Here is a 21,178-nt window from a genome sequence, read left to right on the forward strand (position 1 = left end):
CCGAGTGAGCAGGGTAGGATTTGGGGTAGATGCTAGGTTTAGTTTTTGGACACACTGAGAATGGGACCTGTATGACCTCTAAAGAAAAATGTTGGTGAGTTCACATCCCAGAAATGAGCAGAACCCTCTATTCTTTTCTCCCAGCAGATATTTACTGAGTGTCTACTATATGCTAGATAATGTTTTAGACACTGAATAAGGTGTCATTCAGGCAGCCAATTATGGCCTGAAATATCTCCTCGGTAAGGCCTACCCACAAACTGAACACAGCAATCACATTATGAGCCAGCTATCAGAAAGCCTACAGTTTTTCAGATCGGCAAATGGTGACCTGAGGAAACTCTTCCAAAGGGCGAGATATGATTAGCTTGATCAATGGGTGCTTTAAGGACATTTATGCTAGAATAATGCATGTTGTAGTTGGAGAAAAATGTCAGTATTAACTCCTGGATTTTATATTTGCATTTTCCCTTGAGGTTATGCATTTCACAAATCCAGAAGTTTTTCTTTGAGAATTTCAAGAACAAGGACATCCAAAGTGGGGAAGCAGGTGAGTTTGTGTTATCCATGGATTAAGCCAGAATGTTGCTGATTTCAGGGGCATCTTGTGGTCTTTATGGAAGGAGACCAGTCCATAAACCAGGGCGCTAGTGTATAAGTTGCAATTCTCATCCACTTCCCAGCGTCTAAGAAATAATAGGTGCCCGGTAAATATTTGTCAAATGTGCAGTGAGTGAAGTCAAGCTTGGTAAACACATTTTCATATGCTCCTCGCCATGATAAAGACAAATGTGTTGATGTCAATAAATAGCCCACACCTGTAATCCCAGCAGGAAGGCCCAGGCGAGTGAATCACTTGAGGTCAGGAGTTCAAGACCAGCCTCGCCAACATGGTGAAACCCCGTCTCTACTAAAAATACAAAAACTAGCTAGTTGTAGTGGCATGCACATGTAATCCCAGCTACTCAGGAGGCTGACGCAGGAGAATCACTTGAACCCAGGAGGAGGAGGTTGCAGTGAGCCAAGACTGCACCACTGCACTCCAGCCTGGGTGACAGAGCAAGACTCCATCTCAAAAAAAAAAAAAGTAGTCTTTGTATTGAAAGACTAAACAGAGTGCAGCAAGCATAAAGCAGCTGTTCTTTGTCTCTTTGGGCTCTAACCAGTCATGACTTGGACGTTCACAGCTGCACTTGTTCAAGAGGACTTTTCTGAGGCAGGATCAAGAATCAGGATAGGTCCTTTTTTGCTAGAAAAAGGTTCATTGAGCCTCATGAGGAGGCAGCTTCTTAAAGTGGATTTTTTTTTTTTTTTTTTTTTTTTGGATAAAGCCTACTGCATGGTGTGACTGCCTGAGATCAGAGCCAGACTCCTTTCCAAAGAAAGGCTAATAAATTCTTTTCTCTCCTTCAACTCTGAACAGGAGAAGTAGTCTGAGACCATCTCCTGGCATGAGAGAAAGAGCTCTGGATTGATTAGTGATGGCTGCCATGCATTGGCCATCCTGAAAGTGGAAATTGACATCCAGTGAGTGAATATGCTGTATCCACAATTCCGCTCCTGCCTATAATCACCCTGATGGGCTGAGACTTTTTCTAACTCAGCATAACCAGACCACCTAAGGCAATGTAATATTTGAGATGCAAACCCCCCGGAACCCCAGCACTAAACAATATCATAACATGGGTGAATAACAATAATAATAGCAGGAAGAAGAATCAGGTACCCAAGGTCACACCGTGAAACTAATGGCAAAATCAAGAAATACGTAGATGGGGCTAGTGACCCTTCAGGTCCTGTCTGGCACTCAGATTGAGGGTTCTAGGCACCTCTCCTCCCCCCAGCTCTGTACTAACAACACAGGAGCTGAGCCATGCAGAGTCCTCTCCCCATGGCCTCTTGAGCCTCACCTGGCCTGGCATCCTTGGTTTCGCCATCTGCCCTCCTCTATCAAAAAGCCTCTTCTTTTAGTGATCACTGATTTTATCCTCAGGTTAGATGCCCCTGAAGAAAGTCTTCTACAGTTTGCAAAGAGCCTTCTTTATATTGTCAAAGAGGGTCATGAGAATCCTACCCTCGTTGGTGGGCCTGCTATTGCCTTTCAGATGGGTCATGCTTTGTATTCATAGCCCAGTAGTTCTCAACAGGGAACTGGGGGGTGATTTGGCTTCATTGCGGACACTTGGCAATGTCTGGAAAGATTTTTGGTTGTCACCGCTGGGGAGGGAGTGCTACTGGCATGTAGTAGGTAGATGCCAGGGCTGCTACTGGGGATCCACAGTGCACGGGACAGCACCCCAACAGGCACGTATCTGGCCCAAAATGTTTACAGTGCCGGGGCTGAGAAACACTGTCATAGGGGAAGCCAGAATGAGGCCCCCCAAGAGTGCCCCAGACAATGTCCTCGTTCCATGAAGCTTTTCCTCATTCCCCACATTGGAGGGCAGCACAAGTGCCTCTGAAGTCCTACAGCTGTTAGCCGACAGCTGTCCTGGACACGTGACATGTCCTGGGTGACCCTGTAAGACTGGTTTGGTGTCCCCCTCAAAGCCACTAAGCCCCCGAGGCCCACACTTCACTGCTTCCTTTCTGAGATGCCTGGGGAGGCTGCTTGCCTGCTTCATGTGCTTAATGATCCACCGAGCAAAGGAGCTGGGGGAGAGGAAGCTGATGCATCTTTGGGTGGGGACGTTACTGATGTGTTTGCTCAGCATCATTTTCTGTCCTCAGATGTGATTCTCGAGTGCCTGGGCTTCAAATGGGAGCTCCATCAGCCCCAGCTTTTTCAGTCTGAGACCTTGGCCAAGCTCTACCTGAAAGCCCTGGCGCAGGGCACCACACACCCCCTGAGGGAGCTGGAGGAGCTTCTGCGAGGTACTTCCTCCCTGGCACCCAGTGCTGGAGCCCCAGTGCCCTCTAGCTTGACGGTCCCAGCTTGGAACATGGTTATCTGTTTTGAGACCACGGTCACTCTAGCAGTCAAGAGTAAGGCTCCACAGTGTTATCTCATCCCATGACAGCCTCAGTTTCCTCAAGTGTAAAATGGGGATAATAGTTCTTAGGATGCGGCTTTGAAGAGTAGAGGAGGTACTAGGTGTGAGGTTCTAGAACAAGGCCTGGCACACAGCAAGCTCTCAGTACATGCCAGTTATTATCTTTGTAATAACCCGAGTCTTGTCTGGCCAGCCCAGACATAGAGACTCTACCTACTTCTTTGAAAAGAAAAAATAGGCTATGTGGAATTTTCTGAAGAGCTTTCTGGAAGGAAGGTGGAATTCTGATATCTGTGGCTTGTTTGGCCCTAAGTATGCTGGTTTGAGGCCCACATGTGTGCATCTATTTTGTTGTTGTCTTTGCTTTTCTTTCCTCTTCTCTTCTCGTCTCTCTTCCACCTTATTCCAGAAAGAATGTAGGCCACTTCTTTCTTTGTCTCCTTTTCCAGTCCTGACCACCCCAGCCTCCTCTCACCTGGTCTCTAAGTCGTCTCCATCTGCACTGCCAGCTGCTGCTTTGGGCTACAGGTTGGCATCCCCTCGGGCTGACTCATAAGCAGGTGCCACGGAAAATTCGAGGCCCCCAAAGCCAGCCAGCATACCAGTCATGACGGACTTTCTATTTCCAAGACATGACAGCAAAGCCCTGTTATTCTAGAGCCAGACAGGCAGCCGGAGCCCCCAGTCACTCCCCCTCCCTGAGCCTGAGCCTGGAGGGAGAGCCCCACTGCCTGCGGGAATCTGACTCAGCCCTTCCCCGCTGTGCAGGCAGTGAGAGCCAGCTGGGCTCCTGCAGAACTGCAACAAGCTTGGTGCTGGCTCATGAGCCTCTGTGCTCTTCTGAAGCCTTTGTCCCAGTGTCTTCAAGGGCCAGACTGGGCTCTTCCATCTCCCCTGTACCCAAGTCAAAACATTCATCAGGCCATCAGTGAAAGGCTCTGGTGAGCCAGACAGTGAGTTCATGGAAAAGCAGGAGAATTTGGAAGTGGAAATGGAGTCATTAACGTTACGGTCTTTAACATGTCTAGAATGGGTCCCTAAAATGAAAACATTTAGCCCTGCTAAGACAGCCACTCTGATCCAAGCCTCCCTGCTAGAGGCTACGCCTGGCTGAGAGACAAGAGGGAAGGTGCAGAGATGAAATCCCAGTGCCCTGGACTGTCACAACTCCAGGGTCTCCTCGCAAGTTCCATGGACCGATCAAGCCATGGGATTCACGTCTTTCAATAGGAACAGTCACAGTCCTTCATGTGCCTTTAAAAGCGAAAATATCTCACAATGGTGGTTTGCATACCTGTCTCACGGTTATCACTTTCATGTTCTCAATATCATCTGTGTTGCTATCCTGGAACTTCTGGCCAGACCCTGGATTGCTGGACTCTGCAGAGATGCACAGGCTCTCCAGCTGCTTGATTTCCTTCCATGGAGACTGGAGGAGCAGCTGTCCTGGAGAGGACGTGTTTATTCTCTAGCGTGGAATCCAAGGAGGAAGTGGCCCACTTACTAAAAACAAACTAACCACCTTGGCTTTGGAGAACTTTGGGGAAGAGTATGAACAAATTATTGATATCTTATCCAATTTTGGGGTTTTACTCAACCTGGAGGGAATACTGAATTCCTATCTTTCACTTACTCTGACATAACTGATTCCCTCCCTCCCTCCCTCTCTTCCTTCTTTTCTTCCTTCCTTCCTATGTGGAATGCTTAGCTTATGCCAGGCATTGTGCTAGGAGCTTACCATCTGAGGGGACAGACAAGCCCAAAATGCTGGGAAAGCATGACAAATATTGTGACACATTGTAATATTAACTGCCACCTCCTGCATGCCTACTGTGTGCCAGGCACTCACATGCATCCTCCCATTTACTCCCTGCCACGGGGTGGATGGCAGGCTGGCGTGAGCAGATGGGAGGCCGTGTAGTCATACTGGAGAAGAATGTGACCCAGAGTGGAACAAGCCTGGTGCTTAGTAGGTTCTCAGTGAGTATTTACTCAGTGAGAGCCAGCACAGAGCCAGGTGACGGATGACAGCGAGGGGAGATGGAGGGGAAAGGATCCTTTGCTCTCTCTTTCTTTATAGTTGCACAGGATGATGGGCTTTTTGGCTCTGGCTCACATCATTTTTCATTATCTGGAACCTTGAGCTCCCTGGTGATGGAATCCATGTGCTGCGTTCATTCAGCTGATATTTACTAGCACCAGTGTGTGTGAGCCTGGGATGGGCCCAGTGGGTGGAGCGGCAAGTGAACCACCTCAGCTGAGCTGCTTGGGGGAAAAGCACAACAGGGACACAGAGTAGTAAATAGAAGGTCGTGGTCAAATTAGTCTCTGAAGAAGAATAAAATCAGTTAGCAGGGGAGTGGGGTGCTACCTTACATTTGGGGTCAGGAAAGCCCTCTCGGGGGGAGGGACATGTGAGAAGACCCCCGATGAGGAAGGGAGGGCGGAAGCCCCACACCATCCCGAGGAGCATGCCGGTGAGGGGCTAGGTGGGGGCATGATGGGCAGAGCGGTGGGCAGGGGTTGCAGGCCATGTGGGAATTGGGGCTGCTAGTGGGGCCTTGGCTTTTGTGCCAAGGGTGTGGGGCACCTCTGGAGACCTGAGAGCAGTGCCACTCTGTAGCTCACATTCGAGGATGACTGAGTGGATGGCATTGGCTAGCAATGAATTGGGCTACCTTTTCCCTTCCTCCTGGAAATCCTTGGTGGCAGGGGTCCCCAGAGTGGAGCTCTCTGGGGCAGAGTGACAATAGCCACCACAGGGACACCTCAGTCCCATGTTCACCCTGCAGCAGGTGGCACTCCCACTGCCTGCCTGCACTGCTCCAGGTGCTCGGGTTACAGAAATGACTGAGGTTCAGTCTGCCCTTAAACTGCTCAAAGCCTAATAAGAGAAAGGATGGGGGAGGTCATAAATATGTAAAATGCAGTGTGAGCATCAGTTTCTCGGTTTTGACCATGCACAGGGCTATGTAGGATCGTTGGGGGAAGTTAGGCGAGGGATACGTGGGAACTCTGCACTCTTTTTGCAACTTCTTATGAGTCTTAAACTATTTCAAAGTAAATAAGTATTTAAAAATGCGTCTATAGGCCGGGCGCGGTGGTTCACATTTGTAATCCCAGCACTTTGGGAGGCTGAGGCTGGCAGATCACCTGAGGTCAGGAGTTCGAGACCAGCCTGGCCAACATGGTGAAACTCCATTTCTACTAAAAATGTAAAACTAGCCAGGCATGGTGGAGCATGCCTATAATCCCAGCTACTTGGGAGGCTGAGGCAGGAGAATAGCTTGAACCCAGAAGGCAGAGGTTGCAGTGAGCCTAGACAGTGCCACTGCATTCTAGCCTGGGCGACAAGAGTGAAACTCCATCTCACACACAAAAATTAATTAATTAATTAATTAATTACATCTATGAAACAAATAAAATATAGTGTGATACATATCTTGATACCTCATGGTCATGCCAGGGTGGTGGGTGCCTCCCACTGTGTCTTCACCACGGTTATCACATCCTGCCATCATCATCTCATTTCCTTTACTAGCTCAATCACCTAAGAAGACCAAAGAAAAATCCCCTGCAAAGAGGATCATCATTTCCTTGAAGATCAATGACCCACTGGTCACTAAAGTCGGTATGTATATACCCGTCTATATTCTGAGAATGCCATTGAACAAATGGTCCTCCCAGATTTAAAAATGCACAAGCAACAACAAAGCAAAACAAACCAACAGTAGACAGTGTTCAGTGCTTTCTTATTAAAAAGGCCCGAACGTGCAAAGAAAGAAGGGGCGAGAAGGCTAGGGTGACTTGGGGAAATGGAAGAAGGTGGAATGCTACTAAAGAGAGGTTCTTGTCATTGAGAAAGGGTGTGAAGGATGCAGAGACCGGGAGAAGACAGCGGCTTCTCAGAGACGGACCAAGCACAAAAGGAATTGCTGCTTTAGGCTCACACCCACCCAGGGAAGCCATCAGGCCCAGCCTTGCTCCCAAATAACACTTTACCGGCCTCTTCCTGCCAAGGACCACCCCTTACCTCCCCCAACTTGGGCTCACTCTCTCCCCATCCCCTCACAGCCACTCATGGGCAGACTTCTTTGCTTGTGCAACATCCGTGATGTCATGTGATGGCACTTGTTTAGGAATCGCTCGGTGAGGAAACTTCAGCACTCGTTGGGCCATTTGTCGCCAGAGGACACTCTGACGGTGAATCAGCTAAGTCCATCTGGCCCCTAGCCAAGGCAGTTCAGCTCCTGAACCATCAAATTATTCTGGCTCTTTCCAAGAGTCTTTAACCTTTTTGGAAGTCCCCAGACTCCAAGGAGAATCTGCTGTAAGATATATGTTGTCTCCAGAAAAAAAAAATACACGACGTGCACACAAAATTCTACACCTATATGGGCAGTCACATTCCTGCGCAGGCCACAGACCCCAGGTTAGGGGAGAACCCAGGATGGTCTCACCCCTGAGAACAGGCTTAAAGGAGGATCCTTTCAGCAGAAGCTCAGCTTTCTTTAGCTTCAGCCTCAACTCCTTTGGGAAGGCTGGTAGCACAGATCGTCAGCTTCTGGGCGGTGCCTGCATCCAGGTGAGAGGTGGCGCATTTTCTCTAAGGGCACCTCTGCCTGCCCAGCTGCAGGAGTGAGGGAGGGCGCTGGGTGGTGTCCTGTGTGCAGAGCCCCACACAGATGGCTCGCTTGGCTGTGCCTCCCCAGCCTTCGCCACGGCCCTGAAGAACCTCTACATGAGTGAGGTGGAGATTAACTTGGAAGACCTACTGGGAGTGCTGGCTTCCGCCCACATCCTCCAGTTCAGTGGCCTGTTTCAAAGGTAAGGAAACAAGGCTGACTTTGGGCAGGGCCGGGCCTGGGGGAAATCGGAAGGGCAATTCCTGGCCCATTTGCTGGAACATTCCTCTTCATTGGGCTAAGACACCTCAGGTGTCTTTGTGCCAAGCATGGCCTTGAGCCTGGAAAGGAACTGAGACACTAATTCACACTAACAGGTGAGCCATCTCTCCAGCAACACGCTAGTTTTAACCAAACGATTCTCGACTCACAGGAATGAAATGCAAATGGGAGGATTTCTACCACTGGGAGAGACTTCATGTGTATACACAGTGACTTCCTAGTAGCCCCCAAACCAGGCTTGCTTATCAATTTCACCTCTTCTCATTGTTGGCTAAAAGAAAAAAAAAATCTCTCTCCTTTAAGTCATACACACACACAGAAGCTGGCCATTGGAGGACAAGCTGACTTTTCCATCACTGTTGGGCCTACATTTTCCTGCTCATTTGAGATAAAGTCTTGTTTTTTCTTGTAAATAATATTTTTATTGTTATAAATGTTACATACAGTCATTGTAGGTCTTTTGGAAGAGAGGAAAATGCAAAGATCAAAGTTAAAATTGCCCTCAAATCCCCCTGCCCATTTTAGGCATAGCCTCTCTTTTGGACATTCAGACCCCGCTGGCCCACCTGGGCTGCCCATCGGGAGGGTTCATCAGGGTGTGTTGGGGGTGTGGGGAGGAGGTGGTGGGGAACCAGGAGGCATTCAAAGTGGGTTGGCATTGAATGTGAAAGCTTCCTCATCCTGACGAGGGTTGCCTGGGCTCATGGATGCAGAAATCATGAGCATGAGGGGGTAACAGACATTGCTTGGTGTTTCCACCTGCATCCAAGCAGCCGAGGAAACACACCCTGGAGGGGTGAGACTCAGAGCTCCCAGTTTGCACTGGGCTTTTCCTGCAAAGTCAAAAGTAACCTGGGTCCGTGCAGGGTCTGTGCTCAGTTCTACAATAAGGTGCCCCTTAGTCTCTATGTACACTGGCAGTCTCTGACATAAAATGTGGCTTATAACATTTGTCCCATCTACTTCCCAGGACTTTGTTGGGGATTAGGGGATGTCAGCACATAGGGCTTTAGGATGGAGTGTTTGCCTTTCAGTTCTCAGCCCCTTGCAGGGATGACCTCATTTCATCTTCCCTGCAACCCTAGGAGGTAGAACTATTACTATGCTCATTTTACAGATGAGAAGACTGGGGCTTTGGGAAGTAAGTAACTTGGCCAAGGCCACGCAGCTGCCAAGTAGAGAAGCCAGGACTCGTAGGTCAGGGGGCCCCAGAGCCTGGACCTCTAACACTGTACTATTCCACTTCGCTTGGGTGAGGTGGTAATGTTGTCACTTGCTAATTTGTGGTTCTGACCCTCCCTTCAATGGCATTTAGTCAGGAGAGGTTTGCTTAGGGTCACTCACTTGTTGGTTTATTCACTCACACCTACACTCATTCATTCATCTGCCTCAAGGACAACTTCTTAGGCTCCTCTGGGAGGCCAAGGAGACAGTGAGGGACCAGATGGGCAGGATCCCTGCCCTCTAAAGTCTCCTGTCCAACAGTCTCCATGACACCAGAAGTGAATAAAGGTGGATGGAATGAAGTTTGGGAATTCCTAACTGGAAAATGTTGTGCTATGTATTATTAAGTTCAAGCAAAATTAGTATCTATAATAAGAAAGAGCATTTCTTAGAATTTCTCCTCCCTTTTTTGTGTGTCCTGTAATATTCCTTCATTCCATTAATGCTTATGAAAGAGTAAGTGAACCAAGTGGAAAATCATTCATGGGATTCATTTCTCTAGAATATTTTGTTTCATCTCCTGGGCTTTTTGAGGGATGTGTGCCTACTGCATTGATGTCCTGAAGAGAGAGGTGGTATCTTGTAGCTTTTTTTCCCTAATTCCTGATGCAATTCAGTATAAAGAAGAGATCAGGGCAGGAGGTGGTCTGCCTGTTTTGTTTACTTCTTAAACCTCAGGCTCATTATCTGACTGAATGAAGGAATGAATGAATATACCATCCAAGCCAAGAGAAGACATTAGCTGCTCTGCAGAGGGGAGAGACAGATATCTCCTGGGGATCTTACAGGTTTCAATTCATTTTTTGTAGAGTTCACACAGTCAGATTCAACCCCATGGATGTTTTTGAGCTGGTGCCTCATTCTGGGGACTCATGAAATGACTAGGTCCAGGCCTTTGATCTGGAGCATGTGGCAGCCTCGTTGGGAACGCAGGTGTCTGGACCTCTCTGCAGGGGACACACATTGAAGAGGGCCTGGAGTCTTGAAGAAGCACTCCAGTGTGTCAGCATGGTCAGACTGTGGGGTTAGGTGGCCGTGGTAGATGGGAGATGAATAGTTGCAGGCAGAGCCAACTGGTGTAGCGTCTTAGAACCATCTAAGGAATCTGGCCTTGACCCTGAAGGTCGTGGGGTGAAAAGTCCAGGTTTTCCTGAGATTCCCGTGTCCCTTCCGTTGTATATATCACCCACTGTCAGCCCAGCATAGCCTTGTGATGTATAACTATGAAATCATAGCTCCTTTCGACAGAGTATTTCTGAGCAGCTATTTCCTGGTGCAGTCCAGGAAGTTATCTCTGACCTGAATGCTGGCAGGGTAGCTTCCATCTTGAAGTGGGGCCTCTGGCCACCTTCTGTCTCCAAGCCTCAGCTGCCCTACCTTAGGAGCAGACTGGAAGCCGCATTTAACCTTCAGAACTCTCGCCCTGGCTTATCCAGAGATGAACCAAGAAGGGCAGCTTCTTCATCCTCCTTTCCCCTCCCCCCACCTTGTTTTGAATGCCAGAGCAGGAGGGGCTTTGCAGCTAATGAGCCAAACCTTTCATTCCACTGATGAGCAAACATAGGCTTGCCTGAAGCTGATGGGACCTGCCCAAGATTCTCCAGATAATTGTGGTGGGGCTGGGATTCTAGGTCAGAGGCCAGGGCGGGCCTGCACATAGTTGGGCTGGGTCTTGCCTGCCTTTGAGAGGCTGATGGCGCAGTTGGCAGGGTGTGGCATCATAGGATACATGTGTGTTTGTGTGTCTGTGTAACGGAAGTGCCCCAGGTCACTCTGATAGCATCACAACGTTCAGGTGCTGAGTGAGACCTCACAGGTTATCTCAGCTGAGCTCCCAGGCAGTGGGAAATTGCCAGATGACAGCTTAATTCTGAATCACACATACCTGAGGCCTCCCATCTTGAAGAGATGCAGTGTGTGTGCACACAGCTTCCACTGGGTGATGTTCCTTTGACTCTCATGTCAATATCTTTATTGGCACTTGGGCTGGAGTCACAGCAGGGATTGTGGCTGTCACATGCGTGTACCAGCACATATGTGCATGCATGTGTATGCACACACACGCTCACACACATACACATGGAGCATCTCCCTGGTTGTCACTTGGGTTCCTCCAGGCTCACAGGGCCAGAGGGGCATTTCCTTGCCTCCATGCAGGGCTGAACTTCCTCTGTGGGCAACTTCCTGGTCCTTTAGAATTTCCAGAAGAGGAAACCCCCCACTTCCCTGAGCCCAGAGGCGAGCCCGGATGGCTTTCTTTGCTTCCTTTGGTCTGGGAAGTCTGATCATTCCAGTCCAGCCCAGCCAATGGGTTTCACAGTGAGGAAGGGGAAGCATAAGAGAAGGTGCCAGCCTCCTGGGGCACTCATTTCTCCCCTGCAACTCCAAGCCCAGCTAGTGCTCCCTGTAGGTTTCGACAGACAAAAGCTGGCACCTAAAGGCTCCTGGACCCGATGAGGGTGGGGCCCGAGCCTCCTGTTCAGCCTCGTCACAGCTTGGGCTTCACCCTCTGCTGACCGGTGAGGCCATGAGCTCCAGGACGAAAAGGCCTCCACCTGTCCCTGGTGGCATTTCCAGAACCAGCAGCACAGGTCAGCACAGAGCTGGCACTCAGGATGGATTTGTATGGGGAGCGCTGCTTCCCGGCAGTCTGTTGTTTCATGGGAGGTGGAGGGAGGTAAGGAACCAGGTAGAAGAAGGAAGGCATGGAAATCAAAACTAAGGCAGTATGTGGGGAGGAGCAATCAGGGTGACTTCCAAGAGGAGGTGGTGCTGGACCTGAGCCTGGAAGAATTACAGCAGTCAAAGGGGGAGAAAGAGGGGACAGGGTGGAGCAGCATCAAACTGGGATAAGCCTGGCCACTAAGACCCAATGCAGCTGCAATGGCCAGAGGTTTGGATGAGCCCAGGTTATGCAGGATCTTGTAGCCACATGAGCAGGTCTTGGTTCAGTCAGCAGAGCAGGAAGCCTGGGCTTGGGAGGGGAGAGTGGCAGAGCCTCTGTGGTTTAGGCTGAGCCCCTCCTGTGTGAAGGATGTGGTATAAATGTGGGAGGCTGCAGGGCAGGGAGGCTGGCTGTTGAGAGGCTATGCAGAGGCTCAGCCGAGAGACCAGGAGGGTCTGAACTAGGCAGGGGAAGTGGGAGCGGGAGGAGGGGCACGCTCAAGAGACAGCCAAGATGCAGGATTGACAGGACTCAGCAGTCTTAGAAGGCAAAATGCCCAGGGGATGACAGCAGCGCCTCATGTTTACTCAGTACAGGTTTCCCCAGTACTCAAGACAACTCCTTCTAATGGGTAGAGTCAGTCTCCCTGTCTGAAGGGCCGATCCTAGCACACAAGGGGGTAGAGTGCCTTGGCCATGACCAGATTATTTATTCACTTATCATTTCTTACCTTGTTCTAGTAAAGGCTTTGAGTGGCTTCCATGAATACATGAAATGAAGCCACAGAACACCAATTTTCTTTTTTTTAAGGAGGAAGAAAAAGATGGAGAAGCTACCATTGTATACTAACTCTAATAACCACACTTTTTTCCTAAGATAGGCCATACATTCAGCTCTGAACTTGCTAGCGGCAGATAAAAAGGGAAACTTGATCAGTGATATTCGATGCAAACTAGATAACAGTTTAAAAAACAATTCACTTGGGAGAAGTACAACTACTATTAGTATGAAAACTGTGGATGTCTTCAGCAGATGACCCCAAGCAACCTAATGGTCAATGTCCTCAAGAATGTCTGTAGAGTAAATGCAATAATAAATCTTATAATGTTTTTTTCTTGGTTTTGGCAAAAGCGGCACACCAAAATGCAACTCAGTAAAAGCTACTCTCCAGGGATGTGGTTGTTGGTGGTAACAAGACCCCATCTGCCTTCTGGTCTGGCCTTATGGAAGGATACATTTTAGAATAAGTGCAAGAGGTACTGGATGTCCTTTAAGCCTCTGCCCATGAGCGGTGTGTATATCAACTGAGTTTAGGACAACCATTGAGTCATAATGAGTTTAAGGTTGTGCTTCCGTATGAGATCCCAGTGGCTACTCTCGGGTGCCCTGCTCAATGAAGTGAACATACTTCAAAGCAATTTTGCTGCAGAGAGGTTAGTATTAGCTGTGAAAGTTCAGTCACTGAAACATCTGTGACCCTACCTGCCACATAGCACGTCTACCACACTCCATTCACCTCGGCTCATGCCCTCCTTGGAGGGAGGCAAGGAACCAGGTAGAAGGAAGTCATGCAAATCAAAGCTAAGGGATTATGTGGAGAGGAGCAATCAGGGAGACTTCCAAGAGGAGGTGATGCTGGAGCTGAGCCCAGACGAACTACAATAGTCAAAGAGGGAGAGAGAGGGGACAGTGTGGAGCAGTGTTAAACAACGGCACTGCAGCTGTGCCAGCCCTGACATTCCTTCAAAGTGTGGCACCTGCTCCTGCCCCAGGGCCTTTGCACATGCTGTTTCCGCTTCTTGGAATGCTGGTCTTTGAATCCCTGGCCTGGCCTGTTCTTTTTCCTCCTCTTTCAGGTTTTAAGTGCCTCTCTTCTGACTTCTGGTCACTTTTCTGATTTAACCACACTAGGCTGAAGTCTCCATCATCTGCCTTCCCATCACACCTTGTTCTTTAACTTTTTAACCCTTAACATGACTGCCAAATGTGGTTATCTGTCTGAAAGTTGACTTAACATGTCACCTCACTGGCCCATCAGTTTTGTTCTTTGCACACCAAGGACCTCTCCAGGTGCCTAGCACACGGTATGTGTTCAATGAATAGATCCTTCATGGGTGGGTGAGCCAAATCAACAGGTCCTAGTCATGAGCTCGCAGAGACCTTCATCTGAGAGCTGCTCTTTGATTCCATTTGTGCACAGAGAGGAATGGGACTTGAGGCCCCTCTGGTGGCACCATAAGGGTCTGTACAGGAAGACAGTCCTCAGGCAGGGGGATGACCAGATGGCTATGTTGGCTAAAATCAAACCTCATCTCAGCACCTGGTGGCACTTCAGCTTTGAGCAATAATCCTTGTTCCCTGCTATAGGGTTACTTTGTTTTCTCCTGAAGGATTTGATTTCTGGCCTCATCTCCCAGCCCAGAGCTATTTCTAACAAGCCATGTTGGTCTTGTCCTCTGGCCAAATGTCCATACCCCTAAAGCGAGGCTCCCTTCCGTTCAAAAGTCTGCTGCTGTCCTGGAGTTGAATGAGAATCTCTGGGACTTTCCGCTTCTCCAAAAGCAGTGTGGGGTTCCTCCAGAAACTGCAGTTCTCTCTCTCCAGGTGCGTGGATGTGATGATAGCCAGACTCAAGCCAAGCACCATCAAGAAATTCTACGAGGCCGGCTGCAAGGTGAGAACAACCCAGACGGGGCACATCGCCCCTTGGGGGGGCCTTCAGGAGCAGCCTAGATGCTGGGATTTTACCCACCAGGCCTACTTCCCCCCAGAATATCTATTTGAAGTCATCAAATATTTTATTTTGCCACATGAACACATTTGTGTGTTTTTTTTTTTAAACCATCATTTTATTTTTTTAAAGGATGTTTTAACACCAAAAAAATAGAAAGACTTTAATCTTAGATGGGGGAAGAAGCAGCATAGCCTTTCTCACCGAAACAGCCGAAGACCTTCCAGAACATTCTTGCTGGAGTTGTGAGGTCTAGATTCACCTGGGTCTAATCAGTGTGTCAGGGTTAGGAATAAATGATAGAATCCAACCTCATTCTCAGAGGAGAAAACAGAGCCAAGGAGGGCAGCAGCCTGCCCAGGGGAACCAGCTGGGTCCAAAGCCCAGGCCTCCTGACTTCAGCTCTCTCTGTATGGCCACCAGTGACCTGGGGGGGGATACCAAGCAGCATGCCACAGTTCTCCCATCATCGCGTCCTCCCCTTCGCCCCACTGGTAATTCCAAGGCCACTTGTGGTGGAAACTGCATCCTGGTCAGCATTTCTCAGCAATGCTTGGGCTGCAGAAGGACCCCAGGCCCAGAAGCTATTCGAGGTGTACTGAAGCTCTCTCAAGGTCCCTGGCTCTAAGACGCCTTTTCCACTTTCTCTGCCCTTCAATTCCTGCTTTTTGGGTGTGTTCATAGCCTCAGAACTCCTGCGAGGTACACCCCTTGGGCCCTCCATGATCAGCCACTGACTTGAACTAGTGGGCAAAGCCTATGGTCAGGTTGCCTGGGTTTGCATCCGGCTCTGCCACTTACGAGTTGTGTGACGACAGGCAAGAGCAGGAACCTGGGAGCGTCAGTTTCCCCACCGGTGACCTAGGGATAACAGTGAACCCACCTCATAGGTTTTCGCTGAGGATTGATTTAAATCAACTGAGTGCAGCGCCTCGAGCATAGAAAACACTTAGAAAAGGTATCTGCTGTAATTCATGTATTTTGTAGAAAAGGTTTGAGCGCCTCTGCAGTGACTCTCCCTCTGAGCACACGTGTAGTGTCGTCTCAGGCCAGCAGAGGGTGCCAAGAGCTCAGGACTTCCTTCATCAACTGGCTTTTTTTTGTCTTAGTACAAGGAAGAGCAGCTCACCACCGGCTGCGAGAAGTGGCTGGAAATGAACTTGGTTCCTCTAGGGGGGACGCAGATCCACCTCCACAAAATCCCACAGGACCTGCTCCACAAAGTGCTGAAGTCCCCCAGGTCAGAGCTGGCTCCCAGGGTGCGGCCCCTGAGAGGGGGATGGGAGAAAGTAGGGGCCAGGCTGGGGAGGGAGGTGCTCTGATGGAGGCTGCACCCCCACCTTAAGCTTCCTGCCCTCCTGGACAGCTGAGCCTTGGCTGGGGCTGGAACTCAGGGTGCTGTGTGTGGGGCTGGGGAGAGGGCTCCCTTCTCGCTCCTTCTTGTGGGTAGGAACCCTCTGAGTACCTGCTGTCTCAGGTATTTTCACCTGGGTGCGAAAAATGAAAGACTTAATTACCTAAGTAATTTTTAGAAAAAATCCTGACAACATCAATGCACATTCATTTTAGAAAATGAAATCTCTCACCCTAAATCAGCTTACATCTCCGGCGCTGGCACCTCTGCTGAATAACTCTACACCCACGTATCTGATCGCCTGCTTGACCTCTCTGACAATTAAGATTAAAAGCCATCTCTCGGTGCCCCTGCCCTGTCCTGCACCCCAACCCTGCCCCCAGTGTTCCTCCACCATCTGACTAGCGGATCAAGCTAGACCCTTGATAGTCCTGGACGCCACTTTGACCATACCCCAACCCTGAGGTCATTTCTACTTCCAAATCAAGTCCAGCGCTATGGGCCTCGCTCCATGGGTAGCAGCCCCAGCCCAAGATCGGAGGTCCAATGTCTCTTATTTTGGACCAAGGTGACCTCTAACTGTCTTGCTTCTGGTCTGGACCCCCTTCTAATCGCATCTCTAGCCAACAGCCTTTGCCTCTGGTGACCTGGCTCCTTCAACTCACACAGCATAAGTGCAGCCACGGGGCCCCCCCTGAAACTTCCCTGATGAACACCTCCCCATACCGGGCCTTGGTTCATGCCCATCCTCCTACCTGAAATGCCTGTCCCCTGCCAGGCTCCTTCTCCCTTACAGAAATTCATGGAGATGTTTCCCAATGCCGGGCTTTTTAGGTTATTTCTAATGTTTTACCAATATAAATAGCACACTGGTGAACATCCTTCAACATTTGTCTTCATCTCAGATTCTTTCCCACATTAAATTCCTAGAAATGAAGTTACTAAGTCAAAAGAACTTTCTATTTTGTGTTAGTCTCTTAAACATTTTTATTTGAAAATAATTTCAAATTTAACGTTGCAAGAATAATGCATAGAATATATACAATATATAATGCATAGAATATATGCAATAATGCATAGAATATATATTCTATGCAAAGAATATTTGCATAGAATATATACACAATAATGCATAAAATATATAGTTACACCCAGTACTGCCAATCACCCTAGAGTTCAATTTCTGCCCTGCTTGCTATATCATCTGCGTCTCTACGTGTATCTACATATACACTTGTTTTTTCTGAACTATTAATATTAGGGAGTAATTTGCGTTTATTAAGTTCCTTTACTCCACATGCTTCAGTGTTTATTTCCTAAGAAAAAGAATTTTTGAAAAATATAACTATAGTGCAGTTATCAACTTTAAGAAATTTACATTGATGTAATACTTTAATGTCATTTGCCCAATACTGCCTTTTATAGCATTTTTTCTTTCTTCAGTGCTGTTTAGGACCACTTAGTTGTCATATCTCTTTAGGACTCTATTTAAAAGGATCTTGGTACCCATTTCCAAGTTACCAAAATTTTATTACCTCTGAGTAAATTTCAAAAGTGAAAACTAAATTATGCTGAAAATCCTAGTAGAATATTAGAAAATGAGGGTTTACTCATGTGTATGTGTGGAAAGTGTTCTGATTTCAGAAATTAGATTTGGAAAGATTTATTCTACTGTTGATGTGAATTGGCTATGTAGCATGCAATGCCCTCACGTTTACAGAGATGGGAGGCAGGTAGAACAGAGTTCTGGGACAGAGGGAAGGAGACCATATTCTCTAGGAAGCCTCCAGGAGTCCCAGCCTCATGCCAGCCCAGGGCACTGGCTCACTCCTAAAGTCATTCCGTGGTGTTCTCTGCTTTTCCCCACTCAGGTGCTCCCCCACTCCCCAGCGGAGCAAAGGTTGCGCAATTGTTGAGGAAAAGATAAACATGGCATCCCTTAGACTTTTCATAACATTGTCCCTCCCTTGGAAAGGCTGAGCTGTCACACCCTGGCAGCATTAACCAAGAAAGGAGAAAAAAATGTCTGACCACAACCGGAAGGTTAGCGGTGGGATAAGCCTGACAAACGTATGCTGGGCAGAAAAAGAGGTCAAGAGCATTACGTGTCAAGTGTCTAGACTCATCAGCTTGGCAGACATGACTGATGTGGAAAATGGGTCCTGCTCCTCCGGCCCCTCCCCAGGAGCTGTCTGCACAGACAGTCCAGGGCTATCACTGAAGGGAAAAGAGCCCTGTGTGGCTTCAGGCATGTCATCAGCCATGTGCCCACGCTGACCACTCCCCAGGCTCTGCCCACATCTTCTGAGGTTGATCTCCAGTGGCTGCCTTTGTTAAAGCTTGAGGGAGGTGGGAAACGGTTCAGGAAGAGGGGGGCTTGTTAGAAGTTTCACTGGCTAGGGCTTCTCATATTAGGGTGCTTGTGAGTTTCAGGCTGCTGGCCGGTGGATTTGGCACCATGACCCACAGCTGTTTCAGAATGCACCTTTCTCCAACTAACATTTTGGTGTGTGCTGTGTGCTATGTGCACTCTCCCTTTCTATCCCCACCACCCCACGTGGTGGTCACAGTTATTATCCCTGATATAAGAGGGCTAACGATGGGCAGGGCAGGGCCTCCACTGGCTCCAAAGTCCACGTCTTGCCCTGTGTGCTGCACCCCTCGTCGTTGGTCATGGAGGCCAAGGCTACCAGCAACTAAAAGGACATAGTGAGAACCGAGTGGTCCCAAGGAGTCACGTGGCCCCGGAGTGGGATGTGTGGAAATGCAGACTCCAAGGTCAGGGGTGGAGTGGCCCTTGGCTTGACTTATCAGCCCCTCCAGCTGTGGGGCCAATTCCCTGTTTGTGGTCACATGTGTTTGGAACAACGTCCATTTCTCAGCAGATGCTGCAGCTTCTGGGCCATTCAGCCGTCTCCATCTGAAGTCCCTCGAGCTCATCTTCCTTCAGCTTTTGCTTTCCATTTTGTAAACCACCTGGGGTAAAATATGCAACAGTTTTCCTGACCTCCTGGGCCTCCAGTCTAAATTTATTTGCCTGGCATTTGGTTTCCAGTTAATTTTCTTCTTATAGGTCACTGTTGGGTTACACTGTTCTGCTAACTCTAATATTAAGAAGCTTTCATTCCAAGTTCTGTTTTTCTGGAAGCCAAGCTGCTCATGGACTTAGGAGGATGGAGACCTCAGAGCACTGTCTAGCTCCCATCTCAACAAAAGACTACCTTGCGACCAGGGGCACTGTATCCCTGTGTCTCCAATTCTCCCTGACTTCCCGCCTATAACCCGAGAAGTCTCGAGGTCTCAGGAATTCCCTAAGAAGAGCTATGCATGTCCTCCTTGTTGCATCTGTCCCATGGCTTTGCCCTCCAGCATGGGACAAGGTTCCTATGGGTGTCTGGGACACCCCTGGGCACCCATCTCAAATATAATAGTTCCTGAATCCAATGCTTTTTTAGCTAACACTAACAATACCCACCAATTATTCAGCTATATACAGTTGTTGTTGTATAGAGAATATTCTGAGTGAGTTACCCAGACTGATTCCTATAGCAACCTAATGAGATGGATACTGTTGGTGTTTCTTGCCTGTGGAATAGAGATGATAGGAAATGACGGGATCAGCTGAAGGTCTCCTCATGCAACATGAGAGTTGGGATTTGAACCCACGTCTGAGTGGCCTAAAGCCTGTGGTCATTACCAGCTCACTGACGTGCTCTGCATGAGGCCTTCTTTTTCCTTATTGATGGTCAAGAACAATAGGAATATTAATATTTTTACTGTTAAAAAAAGTATATCTCCTTGTAGTTTCTGAAAAAAAAGTATAAAGGTAGAATTATAATACAAAACACAATTGTACTCATCTCCCCAAATGAACGAATATTAATATTTTGTCTTAAATTGAGAAATCAAACATTTCCAATGAAGCAGAAGTCGCCTATGTTTCCCTCCCAGTCCCATTCCCTTCCTCATTTCTGCCTCCTTCCCCTCCTAAAGACAATTAAACCACTGTTAGGAACTTGTGCAGATTTAATCTATGTAATTTTACTCTTACCACATGAATAATATTGCTTTAAAAGATTTAAACTTGAAATACATGTTCTCATCGTGATTGTAACGTTCTGCAACTTATTCACTTACATCGTGTGTTGTGTTCTCTCCATGTTGATATTTGCATATCTAATGAGCATTTAAAATTTTAATTGTAAAGGGTTCTATTGAATGAATGCACAACGATCTCTTTTCACTCCCTTCCTAATGGCCTTTTGTTTTGTTTTGTTTTGTTTGTTTGCTGTGACAAGCGATGGAGCAGTGGGCATCCTTGTTCATATCTTACTCACATGGTCATGGCTTTCTCTATGGTCTACATACGAAAGAGGACTTTTATTGTTTATATATAATTTTCTCAGTGAAAAATAGAGGACAGTGTCTTATGAAAAGCATTTTTTTCCCCTAAAGAACAATTACCATTTACATTCCAATGGCTGCTAGCGAGTGCCAGTAAACACACATGGTACAGCCCATAGAGGGAGGTTCAAGTCCCTGTGGGTTCTGTCTTGATTGAGGCCATCAGAGCTCTTAGGTAAATGAAAAGGTGTGTGAATGTCTTTGGTGTGGTTATCTGTTGCACAAACGAATACTTTCAGGTCTGATATTGACCTAAAGACAGAGGAATTTACTTTAATAATTATGCTTCATAAATAATAGAACCAGGATTCTGATTCGTGGAGCTCCCAAGGACTCCCCCATGTTGCTGCTAGCCCCTCTTTAGTGAGACCTCAAAGGGCCTTCTGGGCTTGAGGACCTCAGGTGTGGAGTCTACACTGGAAATCACACCACTTCGCCAGCCCAGCTGACAAAGTTCTTCACAGGGACATCATACCAAGTGCTCTGAGGAGAGTCTCCCCTTCCGGCCTCACGATGATTGCCAGATGGTGACAAACTTGGTCCTGTCTGGCCAGAGTCAAAGTCCATGCATTTGTAGGTGGCCTGAAAACCAAAGGAGAGGAAAGAGACAGTTTTACTCTGTTCAGAAATAGCATGAGAGGTGGGTGACATTTTCATTGTCCTTTAGAGTCACGGTTTGTCTTTGGTGCCACCCACCATAACCACATAGAGTGGTTGAATGTGGAAGCGGTGATGTATTTTAAGGCCAGGGTGCAATGTCCATGGTCAGAGACTGAAAATGTCAACGGGTTTAAGAAATGTTGAAATGGCTCCATAGATAACCATCAGAGGCTACTAGAGAAGGGGGTTGGGAGATAGCCACACTTACAGAGCTGACATTACGGGGTAGCAGGTATTCTT

General features: G+C 48.1%; 1 protein-coding gene across 7 annotated transcripts in view, besides 2 other annotated features; it reads left to right on the forward strand.

Moving 5' to 3' along the window:
- The window catches only part of BTBD16 (BTB domain containing 16), a 66,864-nt gene that overhangs the window by 12,079 nt on the left and 33,607 nt on the right, over positions 1–21,178 (forward strand). For 3 of the 7 annotated variants that reach the window (NM_001318189.3, XM_011539239.3, NM_144587.5), the window contains exons 4-9: positions 477–550; positions 2,731–2,874; positions 6,535–6,624; positions 7,706–7,820; positions 14,394–14,463; positions 15,630–15,760. In NM_001318189.3, coding sequence (NP_001305118.1) covers positions 477–550; positions 2,731–2,874; positions 6,535–6,624; positions 7,706–7,820; positions 14,394–14,463; positions 15,630–15,760 — 624 coding nt within the window. The remainder of the gene's footprint in view (positions 1–476; positions 551–2,730; positions 2,875–6,534; positions 6,625–7,705; positions 7,821–14,393; positions 14,464–15,629; positions 15,761–21,178) is intronic. The other 4 variants (XM_011539241.3, XM_011539242.3, XM_011539240.3 and 1 more) reach the window with 3 other exon arrangements.
- Positions 7,712–8,212: an enhancer, noted in NCBI's record as "H3K4me1 hESC enhancer chr10:124050601-124051101 (GRCh37/hg19 assembly coordinates)". NCBI's record gives its function as "activates a minimal SCP1, AML or CMV promoter by ChIP-STARR-seq in naive H9 embryonic stem cells {active_cell/tissue: H9 hESC(naive)}" and the evidence as "EXISTENCE:reporter gene assay evidence [ECO:0000049][PMID:30033119]".
- Positions 10,125–11,115: an enhancer, noted in NCBI's record as "H3K4me1 hESC enhancer chr10:124053014-124054004 (GRCh37/hg19 assembly coordinates)". NCBI's record gives its function as "activates a minimal SCP1, AML or CMV promoter by ChIP-STARR-seq in primed H9 embryonic stem cells {active_cell/tissue: H9 hESC(primed)}" and the evidence as "EXISTENCE:reporter gene assay evidence [ECO:0000049][PMID:30033119]".

The sequence above is a fragment of the Homo sapiens genome, chromosome 10 (assembly GCF_000001405.40).
Source record: "Homo sapiens chromosome 10, GRCh38.p14 Primary Assembly".
NCBI lineage: Eukaryota > Metazoa > Chordata > Mammalia > Primates > Hominidae > Homo > Homo sapiens.